Source organism: Homo sapiens, chromosome X (assembly GCF_000001405.40).
Source record: "Homo sapiens chromosome X, GRCh38.p14 Primary Assembly".
Taxonomy (NCBI): Eukaryota; Metazoa; Chordata; class Mammalia; order Primates; family Hominidae; genus Homo; species Homo sapiens.
In genome coordinates, this window is record NC_000023.11 from 97,337,952 (window position 1) to 97,364,918 (window position 26,967).

A 26,967-nucleotide genomic window follows, 5' to 3' on the forward strand; every position below is an offset into this window, starting at 1 on the left:
AACCTCCATCTCCTGGGTTCAAGCAATTCTCGTGCCTCAGCCTCAGAAGTAGCTGAGATGACAGGTGTGCGCCACCACGCCTGGCTAATTTTGTATTTTTAGTAGAAATGGGGTTTCGCCATGTTGGTCAGGCTGGTGTCAAACTCCTGACCTCAGGTAATCTGCCCGCCTCGGCCTCCCAAAGTGCTGGGATTATAAGCGTGAGCCACCGTACCTGGCCTATAATCTGATTTTTAACAGAATTTTTTTAGTCTATATCTTGAACTATTTTAAAGTATTATGTTGAACCCAAATGAAAATTAATACATGCATTCCATATTATCCTTGTTAATGCTTCATATTTGTAAATACTTGTCAATGCATATTCATCACATAATGTGTGGTTTGTAAGTTTCACATATTTTAATATTATTTTTAAAGTACATTTCTTTGAAATGTTAATAATTTCTAACTAAAAATTATCCAAATTAAATGGAAAAATTCATGTTTTGTTTTTAGCATTAAGAGGAATCTTTTCTGACAGGTTTTAAAAAGTGGAAATGCTGTCTATATTTTAATAGATTGTATATTTGTGACTTCCTTTTATTTAAATGGGTAATTATGCCAGGTTGTTAACTAAAGCTTGTGTGAAGGTTAAGTGGATCTCAAGTTGATTTTTCCATGTTCTTCAACAATCCAGCAGTAATGATATTTAATATTTCAGGCTTTTAAAATGAAAATTATAAGTAACTAAGGTACTACCTATGAAGATGAAAAATTGTAGCAACTGATTTGACTCAAGTATCTATGAGCTCTATAAACTCTTCATTTCCCAGTGCTCTGCTAATGCTTATTCTAATTCTAATGGAACATGTTTTTTGTGGTAACAATTACTCCTTACATCAAAATTAAGTAAAATGATAAACAGTTTTCTACACATAGCATTGATGAAGTGATCCTACTTTACCAATAGGATCAGTTAGAGGGCAAGGGGGTATAACACCTGCCTTCAGCTACCTGAAATAGTCAAAACCAATATAAATGTACATTAAAGTATAAAGGAAATAACTTACTTTCTATTTTGGTATAAGCTTATGGAGGAATTACAACTATCTCAGGTTGAATTTTAAGTCCATACTGTTAGTATATTACTAAGGAATATAATCTAGAAATTCATATATAGTCACACAAAAACATGAGTGATAAAAGCTTTAAGAGAATTCTATATAGTGCATAAATACCCCAGTAATTCTGATCACTGCTTCCCTAGATGAGATTCCCTAGATAAAAATGCTTTGTGGGCTGGGTGCAGTGGCTCACTCCTGTAATCCCAGCACTGAGAGGCCTGGGTGGGCAAATCACTTGAGGTCAGGAAGGAGTTCGAGACTAACCTAACCAACATGATGAAACCCCATCTCTACTAAAAATAAAGAAATTAGCTGGGCATGGTGCTGGCCACCTGTAATCCCGGCTACATGGGAGGCTGAGACAAGAGAATCACTTGAACCTGTGAGGCAGAGGTTGCAGCGAGCCGAGATCACGCCACTGCCCTCCAGCATGGGAGATAGAGTGAGATTCTATCTCAAAAGAAAAAAAAAGGAAATAAAAATGCGTTGTGGGACTTATGATAAATGTTTTATAAATTAACTTTCCAGATTCATGACTGAGACCAAACTGATTTCAAATTAATAACATTTTCAAAACATTAGCATTTTACCTTGCAGTGTTTTAAAATGCTGCACACATTTTAGTTTATAAACCCCACAAAGAACACTTCTGTTAGGGAGAAGATGATGTGATTTTAGCTTACAGTTATCTTAAATAACTTCATGCTTGAAAAATCAGAAATATTTGTCTTTGTAGAACAAGGAATTTGAAAGGGGACTAGTAAAAGGAAAATTGCATTGAATTTCTTATTTTCCTCTCATACTTGCCAAGTTTATATGTATTAGATATGTCCCACTTCACTGCCATAAGGTTATATTTATTTTAGGTTATAAATTACTCTGAATTACCTTCATCTTGGAAGGTCCATTGTTTTCCCAGAGTTCTTCTCTTTAAATATTTCAAGGACTTCCAAAGTTGCTTAAACAGATGGGAAGAGGTCACTCTACATTTTGATCCTGGAATAGTCTAATCATCCTCCCCAGAGTGTCCTGTTCTTTGAAGCTTTTGTAGTTGTTGTCACTCTCTCCTGTGGCACCAAATGCCAGGAAATCTGGGTATTCAGGAGCAAATGCCCTTTGGCTGCTGATCGTACCAGTGCCTTCAGTAGTTTCTCAGGGAACTGTGTTAGGAGAGGTTCTAGCATTAGTTATATAGTGTGTCCATAACCAGCTTTCCCGTGTCACCCTAAATATGGCCATAGGCTTCTCCCTCAGTGCTGCCAAAACACAACTAAGGGCAGGCTGCCTGGCCGAGTCACACCAATCATAATGGTCTACAATACACTTTCTTAAGTCTCAGTTATATTCAGTCTTAACCCCAAGTGAGGAGTAACAGTAACCCAGATCAAATCTCTACTGATGAAACAAGCTTTCTCCTCCTTCTCCATAGACAAGGTCCTGTTAAAGATATACCCACTTTATATTATAAATAGAAATCTACAGGTAGCTGTAAAGATACCTTGTATCTCTACGACATGAAAATGTCATTCTGTTTCTAGAATCAAAACTGCCTGTAAGCCACCAAATAGCCTTGCTGGTTTTTTGTTTTATTGTTTTTTTTGTTTTTTTTTTTTTTTGAGATGGAGCCTCGCTCTGTCGCTCAGGCTGGAGTGCAGTGGCATCATCTCGGCTCACTGCAACCTCTGCCTCCCGAGTTCAAGCCATTCTCCTGCCTTAGCCTCCCGAATAGCTGGGATTACAGGTACCCTCCACCACATCCTGCTGTTTTTTGTATTTTTAGAAAAGATGGGGTTTCACCACATCCAGGTTGGTCTCGAACTCCTGACCTTAAGTGATCCACCTGCCTTGGCCTCCCAAAGTGCTGGGATTTCACGCGTGAGCCACTGTGCCCTGGCAATTAGCCTTTCATAAAATGCATTTTATAGTAAGTTTTTTTTTTTTTTTTTTTTTGTGAGGCATCCCACTACATACATTTAAGTCTTATTTCTACTGGGTATGGTGGTAGATGCCTGTAGGCCCAGCTACTCAGAAGACTGAGATGAGAGGATTGCTTGAGCCCGGGAGTTCTGGGCTATAATGCGCTAGGCTGATTGGGCATCTGCACTAAGGTCCACATTAACATGGTGACCTTTCAGTAACGGGGGACCACTAGGTTGCTTAAGCAGGGGTTACCTAGCCCAGGTCAGAAACAAAGTAGGTAAAAACTCTCATGCTGATCAGTAGTGGAATTGCACCTGTGAATAGCCACCACACTCCAGCCTTGGCAACATAACAAGATTCTGTCTCTTAGAAAAAAATAAAAAGACTTATTTTCTTTAAACCGTATTCTTAATTTCTATTCTCTAATATAGGAGATAAACAAAATGGCCAGTTTTAAATTTTATCTATTGTATTAGGGTTCTCCAGAGAAAAAGAATATATATATATTTCTTTTTTATATAAAATAAGAATATTTTATACATCTATATATAGAGAGAGAGAATTATGGAGGCTGAGACATCTTGTCATCTAACCTCCAAGCTTCTGCAAGCTAAAAAACCAGGAAAACTGATGGTATAGTTCCAATACAAATCCACAGGCCTGAGAACCAGGGGAGCCAATTGTTTATGCCCCAGTCCCAGTCCCTTGGCCCAAAAACCAGGAATGTCAATGTCCCAGGGCAAGAGATGATAGACGGCTCAGCTCCAGAAGAGAGAGAGAGCATTCACCCTTCTCCACTTTGGTGTTTTATCTTGGCCCTCAACAAATTGGATCATTTCCCACCCTCATTGAGGAGGGTGATCTTCTTTACTCAGTCTACTGATTCACATGCAAATTCTTCCAGAAACACCCTCACAGTCACACCCAGAGACAATGTTTCACCAGCTATCTGGACATCCTTTAACTCAGTCAAATTGACATAAAATTAACTATTACATCTACTAAAATATCTACTAGAGCAACATTCAGGTCTAAAGACACAAACTTAATTTAGGCTGACCATCATTCTACTGATAAACATATTCACTATTACATATATAGCTTTAAAATAAATATGATTGAAGCCAACCTTGTTATTAAAATGTATTTAAGATGTTCAGATTGATGAAACGAGGGGATTAAAATGCGTTCTCAAATACAATGAAATAGTACTGTAAAAATATTCTCAGTAAATGAGTTTTGCTGTGAAATTGGTTTAAGATTCATAAAAGGGATTTCAGGTTTTTAAGTACTCAAGTCAGCCCATGACCCAGCCTTCAGTGGTGTCATCCTATGCAGTGTTAGAATGAGCCTTTACTCCTTCAACAAATATTTCTTAAGAACTGTATAGCTTACTGGTTAAGAACATGGGTTCTGGAGGCACACTCAGTTTATTTCCATTTTTGTGACATACTAGCTGTGTGACCTTATGCAATTATTTTTTTATCTCAGAAAGCTGTTGTGAAGATGAAATGAGTTAGTCCATGGGAAGTCTTCCACAGCGGCTCACACAATTTATTTTTTAAAAAGGTTAGGTACAGTTACATTGTCGTTATTGTTGATTTTCATTTCTTTTGTTACTGCTACTATTTCTTCTCTGTGCCAGGCGCACGTCTAGGTGTTGATGAGTCAGTGATCAGAGAAGGTCTACTTTCATGGACCATATTTTTAAGTAGGGAAAGGTAGGCAATAAACAGATTGAAATAAGAAATAAGAAAAATAGACAAAAGAGATAATGTCAGATAGTGATTAAGTTCTCAGATGAAATAAAATAGGTCAGAGTAACAGTGATGGGGATGGATATTTTAGATTGGATAGTTGGGGAAAGCCTCTATGAGGAAGTGGCATTTGAGCTGCGACTGAATGGCTTGGTGGGAAAGAAACAGTCTAGGCAGAGAGAACAAGTGCAAAGGCCCTGAGTTGTCTGTGACCTTGGTATGTTGAAGGAACAGAAAGAAGGTTGATGTAGCCAGGCATAGTACTTTAAAGGGAGAATGGCATGAGCTTACATTGCAGGGATGGGTAGCGGACAAATCATGTAGAGCCTTGTAAATCATGGGAAAGACTTTGGATTTTCTTCCAAGTGTTGTAGAAAGTTATTAGAGGGTTTTCAGAAAGGAATTTACATTTGAAATATCAACAGATACCATTTTTTAAAAAATTCAAGTAGAGATGATATGTAGACAGTTGATTATGAAAGTGTGTGTCTCAGGGGAGAGATTGGGATAGGAGAGATATAAATTTGGGCGTCATCAATATAGATGATATTTAAAGCTATGTGAATTGCTGAAATCAACTAGACAGAGAATGTAGATAGAGGGCTCAGGACCAAGCCCTCTACTCTAACATTTTATAGAAGTCGCCAGAGGAATCCAGGCATGGTGGCTCACGCCTGTAATCCCAGCACGTTGGGTGGCCCAGGCGGGTGGATCACCTGAGGTCAGGAGTTCAAGACCAGCCTGGCCAACATGGTGAAACCCCATCTCTACTAAAAATACAAAAATTAGCTGGGCATGGTGGCATGCGCCTGTAATCTCAGCTACTTGGGAGGCTGAGGCGGGAGAATCGCTTGAACCCGGGAGGCGGAGGTTGCAGTGAGCTGAGATCATGCCACTACACTCCAGCCTGGGTGACAGAGTGAGACTCTGTCTCAAAAAAACAAAACAAAAGAAAGCAAAGCAAAAAAAAAAAAGAAAGAAAGAAATTATTACCAGAGGAGAGGAAGTGAGAAAGAAAACTTTTCATTTCTGTGTCACAGAAATTAAGAGAAGTAGCTAAATGTGTCATATGCTGCTGAGACCTAAAAAGAAAAATAAAGGAGTTAATATTGGATTTTGCCACATGAAGGTCACTATTATTGTAAACAATACACTGCTATATGAAAAGAACTAGATATCATGCCATGGACTATTACAGTGTCTACATTCTAACCCTAAATGGATGACTGCCTTTTATCTAGCTCCCACAACTCTAAAATTTGAATGGTAATATTGCTCTGCCTTTTTGAAAAGGTTGTTATAAAGAATATGGGATATAATGGAAGGAAAGGTATATAATAAGTGATAAAGTCTTATACACATGCAAATCGATGGTGGTAGAATTATTTGTACTATTAGATTATAAACTTCTTCAGGGTAGAGATTAAGGCTTTAATGATCATTCTATCGACCACAATGCTTAGCATGATACCACCCCAGTATCTTGTATTTAGTGGCTTAAAAAACAAAATAAAAATTTCCCACATGAAGCCAGGTGTGGTGGCATACATCTGTAGTCCCAGCTACTTGAAAGGCTAAGACGGGAGGATGGCTTGAGCCTGGGAGTTCGAGGCTGCAGTGAGCTATGATTGTGCCACTGCACTCCAGCCTGAGTAACAGAGCAAGATCCTGTCTCTAAAAAATAATATAGATAATTTAAAATAAATAATAAGTTTTTAAAATTCCCACATTAAATACAGGGATGATATGGAGTGATGTTGTCCACTTCTTTTCTTACCTGCAGTCCCATATAGGATTTGGTGACATGGTTGCAATTGTGAAAAATTTCAGTGCTGACTCGCCAGCCATCTATCCCTTTTACAAAGTAATCTCTTTGAAGATAAGTGAAGGATTTAGAGATTGGGCTGCTTTCCATTTGTTATTTTCAAGATAAACCATTCTCAGAATTTTTCAGGTTTCCTCACTTGGGTACGAGACAATTTCTGAAATCAGTTTTTGTTCTATAAGAACAAATTTATGAAATTCGGTATCACTACATGGACATGTTTTAGCTGGTGAAAAATTGTGTTATGATAAATGGGGAACATACAAATTTTCCCTTTTTTGTTATCTTTGGCTTTTTCTCTGTGTTATACAGATGTTGAGCTTTCTGCAATATGCAAACAGTTTAGTAATTTGCATTGCAAATAGATTACAAGTAAGTGACCTTTGCAAAGTGCTTCTGCCTAGCGAGTCCCTGGAATGAATCTGTTTTATTTAGGGAAGAGAGGCTAGAAAACAGAAATGTCACTTTCATTCTTTGCTAAAAAATGAAGAGTCTTCTTTCTGCTATGCTTAAATATGATGATAAACATTTTCTTAAAAACCAATATATATATGATGACAGTCTCAAAGGTAAAAATCAGAATGTTTTTATATGAAGCATTACGTGTACCCTTCCATTGCTAAAAAGGAAAGTAGAGTCTGTCAGAAATGTGTTTGTTTTTTCGGGTCTATTGACACAAAAATGGGCTTGAGGACTAAAAGATTTAATGTGGCTTGTCAGCATGAAAGAGGCTGTTGTGTTGTTAATGTGAATGCTAATACTTACGTAGCATAAAAAAAGAACATAGGAAGTGGGCATCTCACTTTTAAAATCATGGTGTATTCCATAAGTGTCAGCTGCAAAGTAACTTTCCAGAAATGGTCTGATTTCCCCATTGACTTCCATTATAGAACTAGAGCTGTGTTCCCATGGAAAATAAATTTGGCCCCAGGTTATAATAAAACACAGTGAAGAATTCAGAAAATCTTATAAAGTCAAGTTTTTCAAGGCACAATTATCAGTACTTGATAAAATAATAACACCACAAAATATTAATACTCTATAGTAGATCTTAAAATAGTATGCCCCAGACTGCACCATTATTTTTCTATACAATTCCAAGTCTATTACTTTTGCATCTAGAGAAATTTTACTTCTGTGATCATTATTAATTTTTAATGGATTTAACTCTAATTTAAACTGTTGATTTTGTTTCCTTTTTTCTTTATGGTTAGTCCACTTACCTTTTTCTAAAACATTCTTATCTATGACAATCAAAAGTTACTAGCCATAGAAGAAAGACCAGAAGGAAATGCTCCAAAATGTTCACAATACTTGTTTCTGAGTGGGAAATTTTAGTTGATTTAAGTTTTTAATTTCTAAGTTGTAAAAAAGGGCCATTTATATCTTCTATAATCAGAAAAAATGTATTATAATTTCTATAAGTATAAATTTATATATAGTGAGATATCTTTAGTAGGACACATTTATATATTTGGTTCATTTTATGATTTGGTAATGGTAGTTGTTAAGATCATTTATTCCTTCAAAATTTTTTTAAAACTGGTAAAATTAGTTTCTGGAGATAATAGCTTCTACTTAATTTTCTAGAACATACTACTCAAAGTGTGGGCCTGGACCAGCAACATCAGCATCACTTGGAAATTAGTTGGAAATGATAATTCTTAGGCCCCTGATCTGGGGCCCCAGGAAACAGCTATTTGTGTTTTAACAAGCCCTTTGGGCGATTAAGGTTCTAAAGCTACAGAAAATTCTCTCTAGAGCTACAGCAAATTTTCTTTACCTCTCTCTCCTTCTCCTCCCTCTCCCTCTGTGTCCCTCTCTCCCTCTCCCCTTCATCCTCTCTTCTCCCTCCCCCCTTCCCTCCTTCTCCGTCTTCCTCCTTTCTTGCCAGGCCACTTCCTCTCCTTTATAGAGGAAAAGTAGTTTCTCTTCTCACCCATTGCTGGGTTTGTAGCTGAGACCTCTAAAACAAAAGACAGATTAACAAGAGGAAAACTTATGGATTTATTTAATATAAGTTTTATGTGACACAGGAGCCCTCAAAAATGAAGACCAAAAGAAATAGGGAAACTTGTATATTTTTATGATTAGGTTTGATGAAGAGTGGACAGTAGGGAAATATAATCAGGCAAAGGGGGTATGATCTAATGGTAATGAGCTGGGGGAACTTAGCAAGGCATATTTGTTCAGATTCTTCTCTGTGTCCATATGTCTCCAGAGATAAGGACATTCTTTTCCTTCAGGTATAGGAGGAGCAGCTCTGAAATGAGGGTCTTATAACCTACTTCAGAGGCAGTTAAGAGAATCATTTTCTTGCCTGCTTCAGGAGAAAAGGATTAGAAGATCAGAGAGAACTTCCTGCTTTTGCTGATTTCTCAAATGCCAAGGTGCCATATTTTGGGGAAGTGTGTCTTGAACCCCATCACCTTCTTCCTTCTCTGTTTCCTTTCCTCATGTGGGTTATGCATATATGTATACACACACACATATATAACACTCATATACAGAATTCACTATAACCTCTTTTTTTTTTTTTTTTTTTTTGAGACAGAGTCTCACACTGTCGCCCAGGCTGGAGTGCAGTGGCGCAATCTTGGCTCAGCACAGCCTCCACCTCCCGAGTTCAAGCAATTTTCCTGCCTCAGCTTCCCGAGTAGCTGGGAGTACAGGCGCGTGTCACCATGCCTGGCTAATTTTTTTGTACTTTTAGTGGAGACGGGGTTTCACTGTGTTGGCCAGGCTGGCCTCAAACTCCTGACCTTGTAATCTGCTCACCTTGGCCTCCCAAAGTGCTGGGATTACAGGCATGAGCCACTGCACCTGGCCTCACTATAACCTCTATCTCTACTTATATAGAGATGTATATTAAAAAGAGAGAAAAAAAAATATATATATAGTTTTTTCTTTAAGTTTTTTGCCACTGTTTTCTACCTTACTCATAAAAATATATGAGGCCGTTTTCTGGTATTTATGCCTATATGCTTTCATTTAGCAAACATTTTCTAACAAATGTTCCGTGTGGCTACATATTGAATAGTTCTGCCTAATTTAAAGATCTTCAAGTCTCACTAACCAATATAATGACTCTATCAAGTTATTTTGGGCTAAAATGTGTCTTCCCCAAAATTCATATGTTGAAGTCCTAACCACCATGTACCTCAGAATGTGACTATATTTGAACATAGGGACTTTAAGGAAGTAATTAAGTTAAAATGAGCTGATTAGGGTGGGCCCTAATCCAATATGTCTAGTGTAAGAAGAAGCGATTAGGATACAGACAGGGGAACGACTATGGAGAGACCTCAGAAGAAACTAAACCCACCAGACCCTGATCTCAGACTTCTAGCCTCCAGAATTGTGAGAAAATCAGTTTCTGTTGTTTAAGCCACCTAATCTGTGGTATTTTACCATGGCAGCCCTAACAAACTAATACACAAGTATTTGTGCATTACTAATGTATTTATAGAAGTGATGATTTAATTTAATCTTAACATCTAGTGATTGATTGCCTTTAAAAGGTACTGTTGAGCCATGTTCCTTAACAAAAAGCTACAGCTTTACAAAGACTGCCCGAGAACAGTATGAAAAACTCTCCACCATGCACAACAACATGATGAAGCTCTATGAGAATCTTGGAGAATACTTCATTTTTGACTCAAAGACAGTGAGCATAGAAGAGTTCTTTGGTGATCTCAACAACTTCCGAACTTTGTTTTTGGTAAGTAATACATCTTAAAGCATTGCAAGACCTGTTGCTTATATTTCTGAATGTTTTCCTTCTATTGTCATTTTATGTTCCTATTGACTATATTGATTTCATGTGACATTTTTTTAATAAGAATTGACAGATATTTTATACCTGTGACATGGATAAAAATTAAGTTATAAGTCATGGCTGGCTTAACATAATGTGGACCTAAATGAATCATCTTCAATGTTAAGTATACATGGGAAATGTTTTACTGAAATTTTATAGGAAATGAATGAATTGGTACTTAAATAACCCCAATTTTTATATAGCATAATATTATAATTTCACGTAGCGTAAACATTAATATCTAGAACTTTTCACATAATAAATTCAAATGCTGTGATTTATAAATAAGTTTCTTTCACAGCCTAAATGAGAAACTGATTTTGAATTGGACTGTGTAAATAACATTGAATACCTAAAGTTTCTTTCACAATGTGGGCTCTTGTTTTAAACTGGAACTCTTGAGGATCACAGTAAATATTAGCATTAATTGGGGGTGGCAATTAGGGTACAAGTTATGATGCTAAAAGGAATCAAAGGCTTTGCTATATAAATGCTATGGAAATACACGTCCTCTGCATCTAACAAAGGAGTAGCAGGAAGAGCACAGACTGATTGCAATAGTAACAGAAAGATATGCATAATAGTTGATATCAAACAGGTAAAGGTGTGTGTGTATATATATATGTGTGTGTATATATATGTGTATATATATGTGTGTATATATATGTGTATTTATATATGTGTGTGTATATATATATATATATTTTTTTTTTTTTTAATTTTTTTTGATATGGAATCTTGCTCTGTTGCCCAGGCTGGAGTGCAATGGCGTGATCTCGGCTCACTGCAACCTCTGCCTCCCAGGTTCAAGTGATTCTCCTGCCTCAGCCTCCCGAGTAGCTGGGATTACAGGCACATGCCACCACGCCCAGCTAATTTTTGTATTTTTAGTAGAGATGGGGTTTCACCATGTTGGCCAGGCTGGTCTCGAACTCCTGACCTCAAGTGATCCACCTACCTCAGCCTACCAAAGTGTTGGGATTACAGGCGTGAGGACCTCTAGCAATAATCCCCAACAGGAAGATCAGTTAACAAACAAATTCATTCCAGTGTGAGGTATTCCCAAAGCAGTACTTTCTTTGTATTCCCAAAGCAGTACTTTCTTTGTCAATGCTGTTGCCCTGTGAAATCATTTGATTTTGGTGTGACTTCATCTGTGAGATATGAATATGCTTGTGGAAATCAAATTGCTTTCATCTCCTAACCCAGGGCCTATAACCCAGAGCATACCCGAACAGTTAAACAAGCAGCTTTAGTCACAGAAGTTAATCCACAAACTTCCAGAAGTATGATCATATGTCTTCTTTTTTGCTGAAAATATTAGTTGATTTTTGTCTTTGACCCTTCATAGAGACACATACTTTTTAGCTAACCCATAACTAGTAGAATGTGTTCTACTGGCAATGAGAAGAGGGCTAAGAGAAGTAGTCAAATCATTTTCAAAACTTAAAAGCTGATTATATGCTATGAACACATAAGCGCACAGGTTATATCTACTTGGATTATTTTCAAAAAGGACAAAACAATGAACATTAAAAAGGAATGATGACCAGAAAATATACTTTAGTTGACACACTGAAATGATAAATCCAATAATTTTTTTTGTAACAATGTCTGTGGGTGAATGGATATATAAGAATATGTATGTGGCTAGGCGCGGTGGCTCACACCTGTAATCCCAGCACTTTGGGAGGCCGAGGCGGGTGGATCACCTGAGGTCAGGAGTTTGAGACCAGCCTGGCCAACATGGTGAAACCCTGTCTCTACTAATAATACAAAAATTAGCCGGTCGTGGTGGCGGGTGCCTGTAATCCCAGCTACTTGGGAGGCTGAGGCAGGAGAATCGCTTGAATCTGGGAGGCGAAGGTTGCAGTGAGCCGCTGGAGACAGTGAGACTCTCTGTCCCAAAATAAATAAATAAATAAAAGAATATATATGTAAAATATATAAGAATACATATGATTAATATTGTTGATCTCCATTTAGATCCTAAAACACTGTCTGTCTTATTATATGTTCCCTTACCTCCCCAATACACAGACACAGAGTAGTAGATGGTGTACTTGCCCCCCCATGTTGCAGCATTCTTCTAATAATTCCAGTGTTACAGCCTGTGTGTACTCATATTAGCCATATGCCTAGAAGGCTAAGAACTCTACTTGTATCACTTTTCAATCATAACTTGTTTTTTAAAAATGTAAGAATATTATTGTTAACGAGACCTGATTTTGTATCCTGGTACTGCCACTAAAAAGCTGTGTGACTTTGAGTAAGTCATTTGTCCTTTCTAGCTATCCATTTCTGTCTGTCTTTTGTAAAATGAAAGAGTTAAAGGATTGATCTCTAAGAATTCTTTTCCCTGTTAGTAGTCTGAGTCACAGTTCGAATTTCAGAGATGGCAGAGTCATATATATTACATACATATGTAGGATATGTTTTATGTCTTTCTGCTGACTTCACTGCACATGTAGCTTGAGTACAGAGTAAGAATTTTTCATATATTGTCACTGAATGTAAATAATTTGATATTCTTATGTCCAGTTTCATGTCCATTTAAGTTAATTTCTTGAGAACCTGTTACGATTAACTTTCAAAACAAGTAATCAGATCCTAAATGTGTCAACCAATCTGAAACACTTACCTAATGCACTCCTGACCAGCCATTGCTATCTTTGCCTTATATAACAGTACTGCTACCACTTCTATCTACAAATCTTTATCAACTTGCTGCCATGAGAATTAGGTGTGCAACGTATTAACTGTTTTGAACGTGGGTGGGACATATAACCTCTCTGGGCATTTGTTTCCTTGTCTATAAAAGACGGAAAATAATTTAAGCCATGTCTTCCTCACTACTATCTGAAAAGACCTTGAAACCTATGCTATACAGATGTAGAATATTATTAGCCATTCTCTGACTATCCTTTCCATTAACTACTGAAAACCAACTTGATTTTGGTAATGCTCTGGGTCACAGATAAAAGGAAGAGAATGGTTTCTCTCTATCCATGAGTGGGGACAGACAAACAAATGCAATATAATTTGATAAGTGCTGCCATAGAAATATGTTAAGGTGCGATAATAACATAAAGGAGGAACTGCCTAACTCTGCCTGTGTTGGCCAGAGAGGCCTTCATAGAAAAAGTGACATTAGGGCCCGGCGCGGTGGCTCACGCCTGTAATCCCAGCACTTTGGGAGGCCGAGGCGGGTGGATCACAAGGTCAAGAGATCGAGACCACGGTGAAACCCCGTCTCTACTAAAAATACAAAAAATTAGCCGGGCGTGGTGGCGGGCGCCTGTAGTCCCAGCTACTCGGGAGGCTGAGGCAGGAGAATAGCGTGAACCTGGGAGGCGGAGCTTGCAGTGAGCCAAGATCACGCCACTGTACTCCAGCCTGGGCGACAGAGAGAGACTCCGTCTCAAAACAAAACAAAACAAAAAAAAGTGACATTAGGGCAGAGTCTTGAAAAATCCATAGGCGTTTGACAAGCAGGTTTGAGGTTTTTATACCTGACCTTTAAGTCGAAGACTCCTAAATCAACATCACCAACTTCAGTCAATCCTTTGTGCTCACCATGTTCCTGTTTCATAGTGAACTTGAAGTGATTTCACTCTCCCAGGGGAGGGAAGAACCCTGAAAGATTGGCAAAAATTGTAATCGCCAGAAGTTCCCATTTTCTTAGTGCTTTGTGTGTTTGGCCTCAGGGTTCTTAGCACTAAAAGCATATTGGACTATAGATGGAAGCAATAAAATACCAGTAGTGCTGAGAAGAAAATAAGAGTTCTGATGCATGTGCTACCAAAAATTACTTCCAAATGAGCTCAGAGTTTCATCTTGGGAGATCTATTTGGCATATGTAGCATAAACAAAATGCACATACCAAAAAATCTTCCTCCGATAGAGATATCCTCTAAAAGATGGGGCAAATACAAATAAAAGAATTTGACATTATGGATTAAGATCTTTTTGAAAGTAAACAATTCAAATGAATGAAAGCAGAATTGGATAATGTCTTTGGAAGACTTCTATTAGTTAATATTCCTATTCTATATTACTCAGCTAATGAGGATATCAAAGGTATTCCAGATGAATGTACAATATATTGGTATCAAGGTATATATAATTAGAAACATTTCTAAATTCAGAATTGAGACCCTTTCTAGTTAGTTTCTCAGAGATTTCATGAGTTTAAAGAACAGCATACAGGCCAGGCTCAGTGGCTCAAGCCGGTAATCCCAGCACTTTGGGAGGCCAAGGTGGGCAGATCACGAGGTCAGGAGATCGAGACCATCCTGGCTAACACGGTGAAACCCCGTCTCTACTAAAAATACAAAAAAATTAGCCGGGCATGGTGGCAGGTGCCTGTAGTCCCAGCTACTTGGGAGGCTGAGGCAGGAGAATGGTGTGAACCCAGGAGGCGGAGCTTGCAGTGAGCCAAGATCACGCCACTGTACTCCAGTCTGGGGGACAGAGTGAGAATCTGTCTCCAAAAAAAAAAAAAAAAAAAAAAAGAACAGCATACAATATAGACAAAATTAATAGCCCCTAAATTTAAGTTGCATATTTTGTGGAAGAAAATCAAATTCCATGATACACAATGGAGACTCAGGAGGGTTTTGTGGTAGGAGGGGTGTGGATAATGAGAAAAATTACTTAATGGGTATGATGTATGTTATTCGGGTGATGGATACCCTAAAAGCTCTGACTTGACGACTGTGCAATCCATGCATGTAACAAGATTGCACTTGTACTTCATAAGTGTATACAAATAAATCAAATTCCATATTTATGCAATGTCTAAACATCTTTTTTGCTTATTCTCCTTTCTATGCTTCAGTCATTCTTTTAGTTCAAATAGTTGACTGCACAAATAGTCTTTTTTTTCTTTTGAGATATTTTGAATAGAATATTCAAAATCGGTGAACCGTATATGTTTCACCACCATGCAGTATCTTGCTTAGGCATAAAAATTAATTTCAGCTGTTGGGAAAGTGTTCACGGCAAGTATTATACTTCTATAACTTTCACAGCTCCAAATAAATTATAGAAAATACTTCTTTTCTGTTTTAAATCTGTCAGTTTCCTGCTGCTTCTGTGTGTTTTTGTTTTGCTTTTTTAAAGAACAATATGTTACCCAGGCACTCCATAAATATTTGTTGTGTGTGTGTCCTCATTCTGTACCTCATATACCAAATATAGGAATAAGGCTTTGCAGAATTATTAGATTCATTGACATAACTTGAAAATGTTACCGTTGCTTTTAATCATGCCAGCCAATTTCCCCTCAACAAAATCAGTATGTGCTACTGTTCATTTGATAAACTTTGGAACAGCTCCTAGATGAGCATTAAAATAACTAAGTGTTAAGATGCTAAATGATATCAAGTAATCATAGCGTTTTATGCCATTATTCAGGCTTGCTGCTTCTACTTCCCAGATTGACTGATTGATTGAGACCGGGTTGCTCTGTTTCCCAGGCTGGAGTGCAGTGGTATGATCATAGCTCACTGTATCCTCAAACTCCTGGGCTCAAGTGATCCTCCCACCTCAGCCTCCTAAGTAACTAGGACTACAGGCATGCATCACCATGCCTGGCTAAATTTTTAATTTTTAATAGAGATGAGATCTCGCTGTGTTGCCCAGGCTTATCTTGTTTTCCTGGCCTCAAGCAATCCTCCTGCCTCAACCTCCCAAAGTGCTGGAATTACATGCATGAGCCACTTTGCCTGACCCTAGATAACTTTTGAATCCATCCATTTCTCTCCAAGCCCACTGACACTATTTGAATTCCTGGCTTCAACCATCTCTCGTCCGGACTATAATAATGACCTCCTGACTGGTATCTGTGTCTTCTTCTCTTACCCATTTCCATTTCCTAATCCATTCACCCCATTTTAGTCAGAATAAAATTAAAAACAAAAGAAACCAAACAAGATAACCTTAGTTTCCTGACTTAAGATTCTTTCATAACTTCCCTGTGGCCTCAGGATAAATCTGAGCTTTTTTTTGAGATGGAGTCTTGCTCTGTCGCCCAGGCTGGAGTACAGTGGCTTGATCTCAGCTCACTGCAACCTCCACCCCCTGGGTTCAAGTGATTCTCCTGCCTCAGCCTCCTGAGTAGCTGGGATTACAGGCACCCACCACCACGCCTGGCTAATTTTTGTATTTTTAGTAGGAGACGGGGTTTCGCCATGTTGGCCAGGCTGGTCTCAAACTCCTGACCTCAGGTGATCCACCTGCCTCGGCCTCCCAAAGTGCTAGGATTATAGGCGTGGGCCACTGCACCCGACCAAATCTGAGCTTTTTAAACTAAAATGGTTTACAAAATCAAAAGAGCTATGGTTACTTTAAAGGCCAGACCATCTATGGTTGGCTCTGAATGGGCCGCAGTCACTTAGATTGAACTCTTCTCCCAAATTGGGAAATGTTACTTCTGGAAAGTAGAAGCAGTAGAACAAGATAATAGCAAGTTCCTAAGAGGAACTGTGTCTCTCAGAACAAAGAGAAACTTTGGAAGCACCATATGAAAATTCAAAAAAGGCTGAAAGGCCAAAGTATGATTGTCATTATGCCTTTATTGCTCCCATAGCTGGTGTGACATGGAGAGTTATAACCACTGAGTTCACTCTTACGTTAATTCTCAGGGATGTTCTTCCTTCTATCTTAAGTAATTGTTCTTTAAAAACCTAAACTTGTCTGAGAGCTCCCTGTGTAGCCATGTTGGCTTATGGAGATAATTAATTTTGAAAATCTCTCATCTCTCTTAAGCTATCTTCCCTTTTACAAGGCCTCAGTCATGTCTAAATCTAAACTATAATTGGAAAGTCAATGAGTATATCTGCATTTAGTTAGGCTTGAAAGACTAAATTGATAATATACAGAAAATTTGATTCATTTATTAATGGTAATTTACCTTTAAAGAAATGAGGGTGAATTTTTACATGAAAGGATTGTGTATATAATCCCTGATCCAAAATGACTTAAGTTGTTTTGACACATTTTTAAACCAAGCACTTGACATTAAAAAAAAAAAAAACTTCAGTATTATAAAAATGGTAGGCTTATGTGAGAAACCAAATATATTGTTTAACAAAGTAGTGTCTTAATCAGTAATGTAAATTCTGATATCTAGAATTTCATCATCCAGAAATTTCTATTAGATGCCTCATAAGTTGGTGCCTCTTTGCTTTGCCAGTAAAATGGTAATATTCTGAAAACAACCTTAAGAAGCTGCAAGACCGTGATGTGCTTCTTTAATGATATAGTTTTTTTTGTAAACTAGATGTCTCCAGGTCTCTTCATTTATGAATTCAGAGGGGGTGTCCTTAGTAACAGTAATCCAAATATCCCAGTTATCTCCTCTTTTCCCCCACTGGCAGGACTCAAGCTCTTTACAAAGTCTTTACCCCTAAAAGTACACCTGGAGTCATTTCATGGGTGCTGAAAACGTCATCTGTAGTCACCAGTTGAAATTTGCTCACCAATCAGCAACTGAGTGCCTTTATTCTAGAGTGATGAAAATATAGCAATGAACAAAACAGACAAAGCCCCTGCCTGTCCTGTCTTGCTGTAGCTTCAGCTCCATTCTGCTAAATGCTTTTTGCAGGCAAAACTGCTTGGGGTTGCCTTTAATGAAAATGCCTATGTGTGGGCCAAGGGTACAGTTTCCTACTGCTCCAATTTTGTCATCAATCTTGAAGTACCATTGTGGTATTATGTTCAGTGCAGAAGTAGCCATGTTTCACAGGACACTTCATAAAAACAGTTCATTTTGCATCTCTTCTGATCCCTTTCTCCTTGGAGACTAAAAACTGTTTCAACTCCTAGAGACCTGAAGGGAATCCTAAAATCTTAAGCCCCTCCATTGCCCTCCTTCTCCCCTTTTGTTCAAGTGCCTAGGCATGTATCTTCCTTTTCCTAGGAGCTGGGAATAAATAAAATGCCAGCATAAATCGTTTCATGCAAATAGAGCCCTAAGGGCCCACCAACTCTCTCTAGTTAATCATATACACCCAGATAATTCCCTTTGAGCTCAGCTGGGACCACCCTGGGTATATAGCCTTAGGTTTATTTTGATCTGTTGCAACTCTTTGAAAATAGGCAATCCATGGAAAATATATGGTAACTCTATTAAGCAGAATATTTGACCGGAATACCTCATTCCCCAGCTGTGCCAGAGAGCAGACTTTACTGTATTTTACAGATATCATTGAATTCTTCTTTAGAAAGAGATGTCACCTATCAAATGTTGTATTCTCTTTGACTGTTTACTTTGGGCCAGAAGTGGATGTCCTATTTCTCTTATATGATTTTTCCTTGTATAGAAAAGCTAAATATCATATCATAGGGAACTAAAGGAATATGTAATAAGGGAAGACATGGTTTAAGGAAAACTCAAACTCCCTAACATGATAAAAAAAAATACCTACTAGTATGGATGGTTTTTAAATATGTATGCATTTTAGATTAATATTATAAAACTAAAAAAACAGTTTTTTCTAAAAATATTTATAAAAGTTGACAGAATTGTTTATGACAAGCTGAATTTTACCCTTTAAAAATCTGACAATATAATAATTAACAATGAAAATATTAACAAAATCAGTTCAATGCCACCTTTTCCTATTAAAGTCTAATAAGAACTAGAATCAGGAAACAGAATGTAATATCTTTAGTTCCAGCAACAACGCCTCATGCAGAATTTTTCACAGAAGTGTTCCCTATAAATAAGTTATTATTGAATTATGTCCAAACACCAGGAAGTGGGAAAGTGTAAGATAAGCAATATGGTATACAAGCTGACCTTTTCCAGAAGTCTTGAGATTGGCCAGAGGTATTGATTGTGATCAGAGCATGCCTGTTTCAACCTAAGCATGAAGATCCCTGAGGTTAATACTACTGGTGGCACCCTCTCAGCTGGCTGAATTTTTCTTCATTCTGCTTCATCCTGTTTTGTTTGTCCATTTGCTAATTAATCTTCTGTCAGAAAAGATGCCGTCACCCCTGAATAAGGCAGTAGAAGGGAGGACTTCCCCGGAATTGTGCCCATTGAGCTCCTTTGGTATGCCTGCCCCCTCTTCTTCTCCCCCCTCCTTCCAGTTGCCTACCAACTTGTTCAAGTCATTTCCTCTAAGAAGCCCTCCCTAACTTCCATTTCGGTGTAGATTACCCTTCTCTGTGCTCTCATACCTCCATCTTAGCACATTTTACCCTGTAATATGTTTATCTCCATACCCTCGTGATTAATACTATAATTAGCCTACTGTGGGTCAAACACAGTGCTGATCTCGAAGGATATGTATGAATGGCTTAATGAATTAATAGAACAATGAGTGAATCAAACAAAAAATCAAAATATTTGCTCTCCAGAGCTCACATTCTAGTGGGAAAGGCAGTGAAAGAACAAATAGTGGTAATGAAATATAATACATATGTACAAAGAGCTTGTAAGCACAGAGCAGTGAGGCATTTCTTCTGTCTGATTTAAGGAAAGCTTCAAAGACATAGAGATATGTGAACTGGGTCTGATCATTGTTTTGCTACTATATGGCCTTTCATGTTTTAAGGAGCACTTTCCTTTTTGTTCTCCCCCACCTCATTTGGTGTTTAATTTTAATGGTAAACATACATTGTCTCCTAGTTTTCCATGCTGAGTTCAAAGTGGAAAAACAGCTATTTTGTTGCCAGAGAAGCAGTTACCAGCTAATTATGATGATCTAAAGGTTATCTGCCATATGCTTAGATGAGCAGTAACCAAGCTTCAGTTACTTCTTATGACTGACAGTTGTCCTGAGCAATAGGACAATTGATGCAGATTATCTAGGGCAAAAGCAACTGCTTAAAGTCTGACTTGCCTGGTGTTAATTTAGGCCAGTGGTTCTCACCCAAGAGCGATTTTGCCTCCCAAGGGACATTTGGCAAGATCTAGAGACATTTTTGTTTATCACAACTAAGTAGGATCTGCAACTGGCATCAAGTGGCTGAAACCAGGAACACTGTTAACCATCCTACAATGGACAGGAGAGCCTCCCACAATAAATAAATATTCAGCCCAAAATGTCAGTAATGTTGAGATTGAGAAACCCTGTTTCAGGATTACCTGCAAAAGATTTTTTAAAAAAAATTATAAAAAATCAGTGGAAAACAATGTGCAATAGTCCAAATTAATAAGCAAAATCTACTAGATAAGTTAATATTATATCTATCATATTGATGTAATATTTTAATAATTTCAAATGTTAATTTGATCACTGTATTGTTACAGTTACTACTTTTTTCTATAGCTTTGAAACATCCCAGTTTATATGGCTTGTAAAATTTTTTAATTACCAATCATGCATGTAAATTGTAGAAAAATTAGAAAATATAAATACCAAAAAGAAAAAAAACTGTCGACTGCAATTCCACTATCCAGAGTTAATTAATATTAATACCTCGGTACATATCCTTCCAGGCATTTTCCTATGCATGTACATAAGTATTTAGATTGTGAATTTGTTTTTCTTAAAATAATAATAAAAAGACTTCTGAAAATTTAAGTTTTAAATTTATATTTTCTTGTAAAAAGGCTAGTGGATCATGCTTATATGGATATGTCCATCCACATTCAGTGTATAGTGCCGTTGGTTATGTCTTCAGTTGTGATTAAACATGTTAATTGGCTCACTTCATGATGCCCTTTTACAAACACCTGGTCTTTGGCACCATGCTAACAATCATGACTACTGTAAGCCATCTGTAAAGAGATCGGTAGAATCTTGATTTCTCTTTTTGTTTTCTACATAATACCCTCATTAAACTTCCCTGTGTCAAGGGGCCTTAAATCAGTAATTGGTGACTGTCCAGTTAGGCTATTCACACTAGTGTTTCTTAAGCACTTTGCTGTTGTTCTCTGCTGTGCACTTTGATTTAAGAACCATTACTTACCTAAACTAGGGTGTTCTTTTTTAATCATTGCAAATTGTTAATAATATAATGATTTGTAATCTAATCACAAAAATTCTTAACAAAAGCAATGTTACGATTTAAAATGAGAGTAAGTGTCCTATATATGTCCTATATATGTGTGTGTGTGTGCGTGTGTGTATTTTTTTCCTTTGTTTCTGTCATCCTCTTCTTGAATCAAATTTCATTGTCATGGAATACAGTCTCCTAAACTGCTTTTTAAAGATCTGAAACATGGATAATCTTTTTTTTTTTTTTTTTTTTTTTTATGATACAGAGTCTCGCTCTGTTGCCCAGGCTGTAGTGAAGTGGCAGGTCTCGGCTCACTGCAACCTCCGCCTCCCAGGCTCAAGCGATTCTCCTGCCTCAGCCTCCCAAGTAGCTGGGATTACAGGCACCTGCCACCACGCCTGGCTAATTTTTGTATTTTTAGTAGAGATGGGGTTTCACCATGTTGGTCAGGCTGGTCTTGAACTCTGGACCTCGTAATCCACCCACCTCAGCCTCCCAAAGTGCTGGGAATACAGGCGTGAGCCACTGCGCCCGGCCATGTTATAATCTTAATAATGAGGCAGCTACTATTTTTGCTCATATCCATTTTAATTTCTGTTTCTGCAAACATACGGTTTTGGAATATTCAGAATTTCCTGACATTGTTCATGGGGTATTGGGCAAACCAGAGAATACATAGTATTCCTGAAAAGCTAATCATCCATTCAAATCTTGACATTTTGAAATGGAAGATGCTCTATTATTCTTCAGGGATCTTATATATTTTGTGCTCAAACTACTGGATTACTCAGTATGACAGTGTAGTTGAAGTCATTTTATTTTATTTTTTCAAATTTATTAATCAGGCACAAAAGAGCCAAACTTCATACTGGAGACACTATAGTTTAGAATAGTGTATTATTTGTTCGTGCTCAATTGTCTTTGGTCTAGTAATAAAAAACTAAAGTCTCATATACATTGGGGACATATAAAACAGCAGTAATTAACAAAACAGTCTGGGTGCGGTGGCTCACGCCTGTAATCCCAGCACTTTGGGAGGCCAAGGCGGGTGAATCATGAGGTCAGGAGTTCGAGACCAGCCTGGCCAACATGGTGAAACCCCGTCTCTATTAAAAATACAAAAAAAAAAAAAAAAATTAGGTGGGCATAGTGCCGGGCGCCTATAATCCCAGCTACTTGGGAGGCTGAGGCAGGAGAATCACTTGAACCCGGGAGGTGGAAGTTGCAGTGAGCCAAGATCGTGCCTCTGGACTCCAGCCCAGGCGACAGAGCAAGACTTCATCTCTAAAACAAACAAACAAACAGATGATTATGTAAAATGGATGAAATCGCAAATATAACTGTATTAAACAATATAACCTCTACATGGGAGATATGGGTTGGTGTTCCCCAAAAACTTGAAACTTTATTTTGAATGTTAATTATTTTTAGTGTTGTGAGCAATCCTCCTTCATCAAATGACATCTACGAGATATTATTTGTGAAAGTATTTGCTCCTTTGTTTAAAATATAAGATTTGTAAATAAAAATTTAAGATGAAGCCTTTTTTAGGTGACAGTCTCCTTCTGTTGCCCAGGCTGGAGTACAGTGATGCAGTCATAGCTCACTGTAGCCTCAGACCCCTGGGCTCAAGCTATCCTTCCACCTCAGCCTCTTGAGTAGCTAGGACTACAGGTGCACACCACCATGCTCGGCTAATCTTCTTCTTCTTCTTTTTTTTTTTTTTTTTCTTTTTTAGAGACAGGATCGTGCTATGTTGCCCAGGCTGGTCTTGAACTCCTGGCCTCAAGCAGTCTTCCTGCCTCAGCCTCCCAAAGTGTTGGAATTACAGGCATGAGCCACCATGCCTGGCCAGAAGCATTTTTTAATACATCCTAATTATATGGTTGTTATTTCATACTATATTAAAAGTTTTAGAATAGAATATATTCAAATAGATAGACTTGTTTCATGTGAGCATTATTTAGGCAAAATATGTTTTAGGTAACTCTTTAGGTAACAGTCTTTAATGAATAGGCCAAATTAATTTTCAATTATTACTATAAGTGCTTGTGTATGTAGATATTATTGCTCAAGTTTTTCTGTAAGTACCTGAAAATAATTGATTTAACTCTGCTTTTGAACGCACTAGCATATTTTGATGTTTATTCTTTTGTATAATGTATTAGGATGCCTTTAGCTGCCTAGTGACATAAAACATAACTAAAATTAGCTTAAGAATATGGTTTTACTCTCTTACATCACAAGAAGTGTAGAGGTAAGGCAGTTACAGGGTTGGTTAATTCAGTAGCTTAGTAATATTATTAAGGACCCAGGATATTCCAGATATTTCTGTTCTGCCATCCTTGGCATGTTGGCTCTTGGTTGCACAATGGCTGTAGTTGTTCCAGGCATCACATTCAAATATGGGGACGTCTAACAAAGGAGAGTGTGTTGTCTCTATGAAGCTTTTTTTTCAATTAGGGAGAAAAGCTTTTCCAGCAGCTCCTGGGCAGATTGATTCCTTCACATTTTGTTGTCCAGGATTGTGCCACATGCCCATCCATCCCTAAACTAATCACCATCAAGGAGAACCTTAGATTAATCCATGGCTTTGCCAGCAAGTAAGATGGCTGGCATTGGCAGCGCGCGGTGGCTCACGCCTGTAATCCCAGCACTTTGGGAGGCCAAGGCGGGTGGATCACTTGAGGTCAGGAGTTCGAGACCAGCCTGGCCAACATGGTGAAACCCTGTCTCTACTAAAAATACAAAAATTAGCCGGGTGTGGTGGTGGGCATCTGTAATCCCAGCTACTTCAGAGGCTGAGGCAGGAGAATCTCTTGAACCCAGGAGGCGGAGGTTGCAGTGAGCCGAGATGGTACCACTGCCCTCCAGTCTGGGCGACAGAGCAAGAGTCTGTCTCAAGAAAATTAAAAAAAAAAAAAAGACTGGCATTGCATGGATTGGGACATGCAACTAAAAGTATCAATATAGCACAAAAGTAAATTGTTGCTCAGTATTATTTGAATTGTCAAACGTTGCAAATTGGCAAAAGAAAAATAAATGAGATGTTATCTGTGAAATATACACTTGTGTTCAATTAAATAGTTTTTAAAAATCTTAGAAAACAGAAATGTAAATAGAAAACATTACCCATTTATTTTGAAGTTATCCTTCACTGTTTGCGTTCTGTCTTTCGCTAGAATATACTTACACAAGGACATTCTGCTTTTCTAATTTGCTTGAAAAGCTATTAGTTTACTTGCTTTCTTTTTCTCATTCATTCATTCAAGGATTATTTATTGAGTGCCTATTAAACAGTGGACACTGTTCTAGCCACTGGCATTGTTTGATTTATTTCAGTAAACTAAAACAGATTTTAAAGCTCTGCCATCATGGAGCCAAATGTGGAAAATGAGAAAATAAACTATAAACATAATTATTGGGAAAATTATATTACAAGTTAGAACGTTAAGTGCTATGGAAAGAAGAAATCATACCAGTGGAATGGCCACATGACAGTGGCTAAAAGGTTTCAACAATAGTTATAAAGTTCCATTGTGCAATCAATTTCTTAAGCTAAGATTTAGATTTTAACAGTGTAAATGTTTCCTAAAATTCAGGGATCACTGAGTTGTCCTATTTAGAAGACTTCACTAGGTACAGTTAGATGATTTTTATACAAACCCGAACTATTTCATCAGCCATGTATCCTTATGTGATGTAGAAGAAATAAAAATTAATTCTGTCCCACTTTACAGAAAAAGTCTTGCCAAGGGCTTTATTGTTTCAGTTAAATAATTGTAACATTATCTTCTGGAATATGGAGGATATACAAATAGAGAACTTTACCTAGAAGCCCGGCATATTGTCTACTTTTAGACACAGATCAAATTTAAAAATTAAAGAGGAAACACCTGAGAAGAAATCTGTCCTTTTCCTAATGCCATTTCAAAATCAATGGCTCTTGCCTTTGTTAATTAAGCAAGTTAAAACCTTTCCTTGTTCAAGAGAAAACAAAGCAAAACAGTATTTTTGCTATTAAAAACGCCAACTAGGCCAGGCGCAGTGGCTCACGCCTATAATCCCAGCACTTTGGGAGGCTGAGGTGGGCGGGTCACTTTAGGCCAGGAGTTCGAGACCAGCCTGGCCAACATGGCAAAACCCCATCTCTACTAAAAATACAAAAAAAAAAAAAATTAGCGTGGCATTGTGGCTTGCACCTGTAATCCCAGCTATTTAAGAGGTTGAGGCAGGAGAATCACTTGAACCTGGAAGGCGAAGGTTGCTGTGAGCCGATATCACGCCACTGCACTCCAGCCTGGGTGACAGAGCGTGACTCTGCCTCAAAAAAAAAAAAAAAAAAAAAAAAAAACCTAACAAATACAGATTCAGTCTCAGTCACTACTTCTTCCTCAAGGGAACTCGGATATCTTATTTAAGAAGATAGACAATAACATCCCGAAATGGGTTTCTAGACAGGAAGCTCTGACAAAAGGTGAGATGTATAGCAAAGCATGTAGTGAAGTAAAAGCATATTTTTAGTGCCAAAAATATGAAAAATTATAAGGAACTTACAAAGACATTTAGTTCATCTTGGATTCCTTTCCCCTGGTCCTTGTTCTCTGCCAACTGTCAGCTAGTTGATCTGATAAACTAATGCAGTACTAATGTGTCACTCATTCTGTATTACATACATGCCCTTTAAATTCAGGACAATGCCTTAATTCAGCAGAGCAATTCTGCTGTCAAGAACTTCTTGCAACATGGCTAGCTGATAGAGGAAATATTGGAGGGAAAGACAGCCTTTCTTGTACCTCTGAAAGAACATCATATATGTAGCTGCACAATCTTCCTGGGTCTAGAATTTTTCCCCCCACCTCACACCCTCCTCCCAAGGACATTTCACAATTTAACCTGTCTGTTCTGGTGTCATAATATAGCTTTGTCAAATTGGCATCTTCCTGGGAGTGACCTCCCCTTCGACATGGATCAGAGAATTCAGGCAACCCAAAACCCTGATCCAGCCCACCCTGTCTTTTGAGAGGCTGGAAACTCAGGAGTTTCATTGGCAGAGATGTAGTATCAACTCAGCTTTGATTTTCCCTTTCTTTCTGGGTGACATTTACTTTTTTATATATTGTCCCTTAGGCAGAAATACTACACTCACCTTGTAGGCTTAGCAGGATGTCTACAGGGGGTTACCCCAAGCTTACTGTGTGAAACCCAAGCCATGCTCAGCTCACTTACTCAGCCACGGAGACAAAAGACAATTAGTGCCTTATGGTATAGTAGGTACAAAAGAAATGTTTTATACTCCAGATTTCCTCCCTACTCTACCTTATGGTATGGTACATATACAGCCTGATCACTAGAATAATCCTTTGTCATAATAAAGGCGGGATTTCTTGGTTTGATTTTCAGTAAAAATGTCTCCTGGTGTTTTTTTTTTTTTTTTTTTGGATCTCCTTCCTTCAATCTTAAATAAAGCATTTCCAAAGGTCTTACTTTTGGTCCTGCATATTTTTCTTCCTGGGTAGTTGATATCTATTCCAATGGCTCCTACACTTTCCTGAGTTGTGATTTTATTATTCAGCTCTA

At 37.9% G+C, this 26,967-nt stretch overlaps 1 protein-coding gene and 1 pseudogene across 2 annotated transcripts in view, besides 1 other annotated feature; both read left to right on the forward strand.

Annotated features, from left to right (window-relative positions):
* The window catches only part of DIAPH2 (diaphanous related formin 2), a 920,156-nt gene that overhangs the window by 653,110 nt on the left and 240,079 nt on the right, over positions 1–26,967 (forward strand). For both annotated transcript variants that reach the window (NM_006729.5, NM_007309.4), the window contains exon 24: positions 10,165–10,329. In NM_006729.5, the coding sequence (NP_006720.1) occupies positions 10,165–10,329 (165 nt within the window). The remainder of the gene's footprint in view (positions 1–10,164; positions 10,330–26,967) is intronic.
* RN7SL74P (RNA, 7SL, cytoplasmic 74, pseudogene) lies at positions 3,095–3,393 on the forward strand (annotated as a pseudogene).
* Positions 3,593–4,094: an enhancer, noted in NCBI's record as "NANOG hESC enhancer chrX:96596543-96597044 (GRCh37/hg19 assembly coordinates)". NCBI's record gives its function as "activates a minimal SCP1, AML or CMV promoter by ChIP-STARR-seq in naive H9 embryonic stem cells {active_cell/tissue: H9 hESC(naive)}" and the evidence as "EXISTENCE:reporter gene assay evidence [ECO:0000049][PMID:30033119]".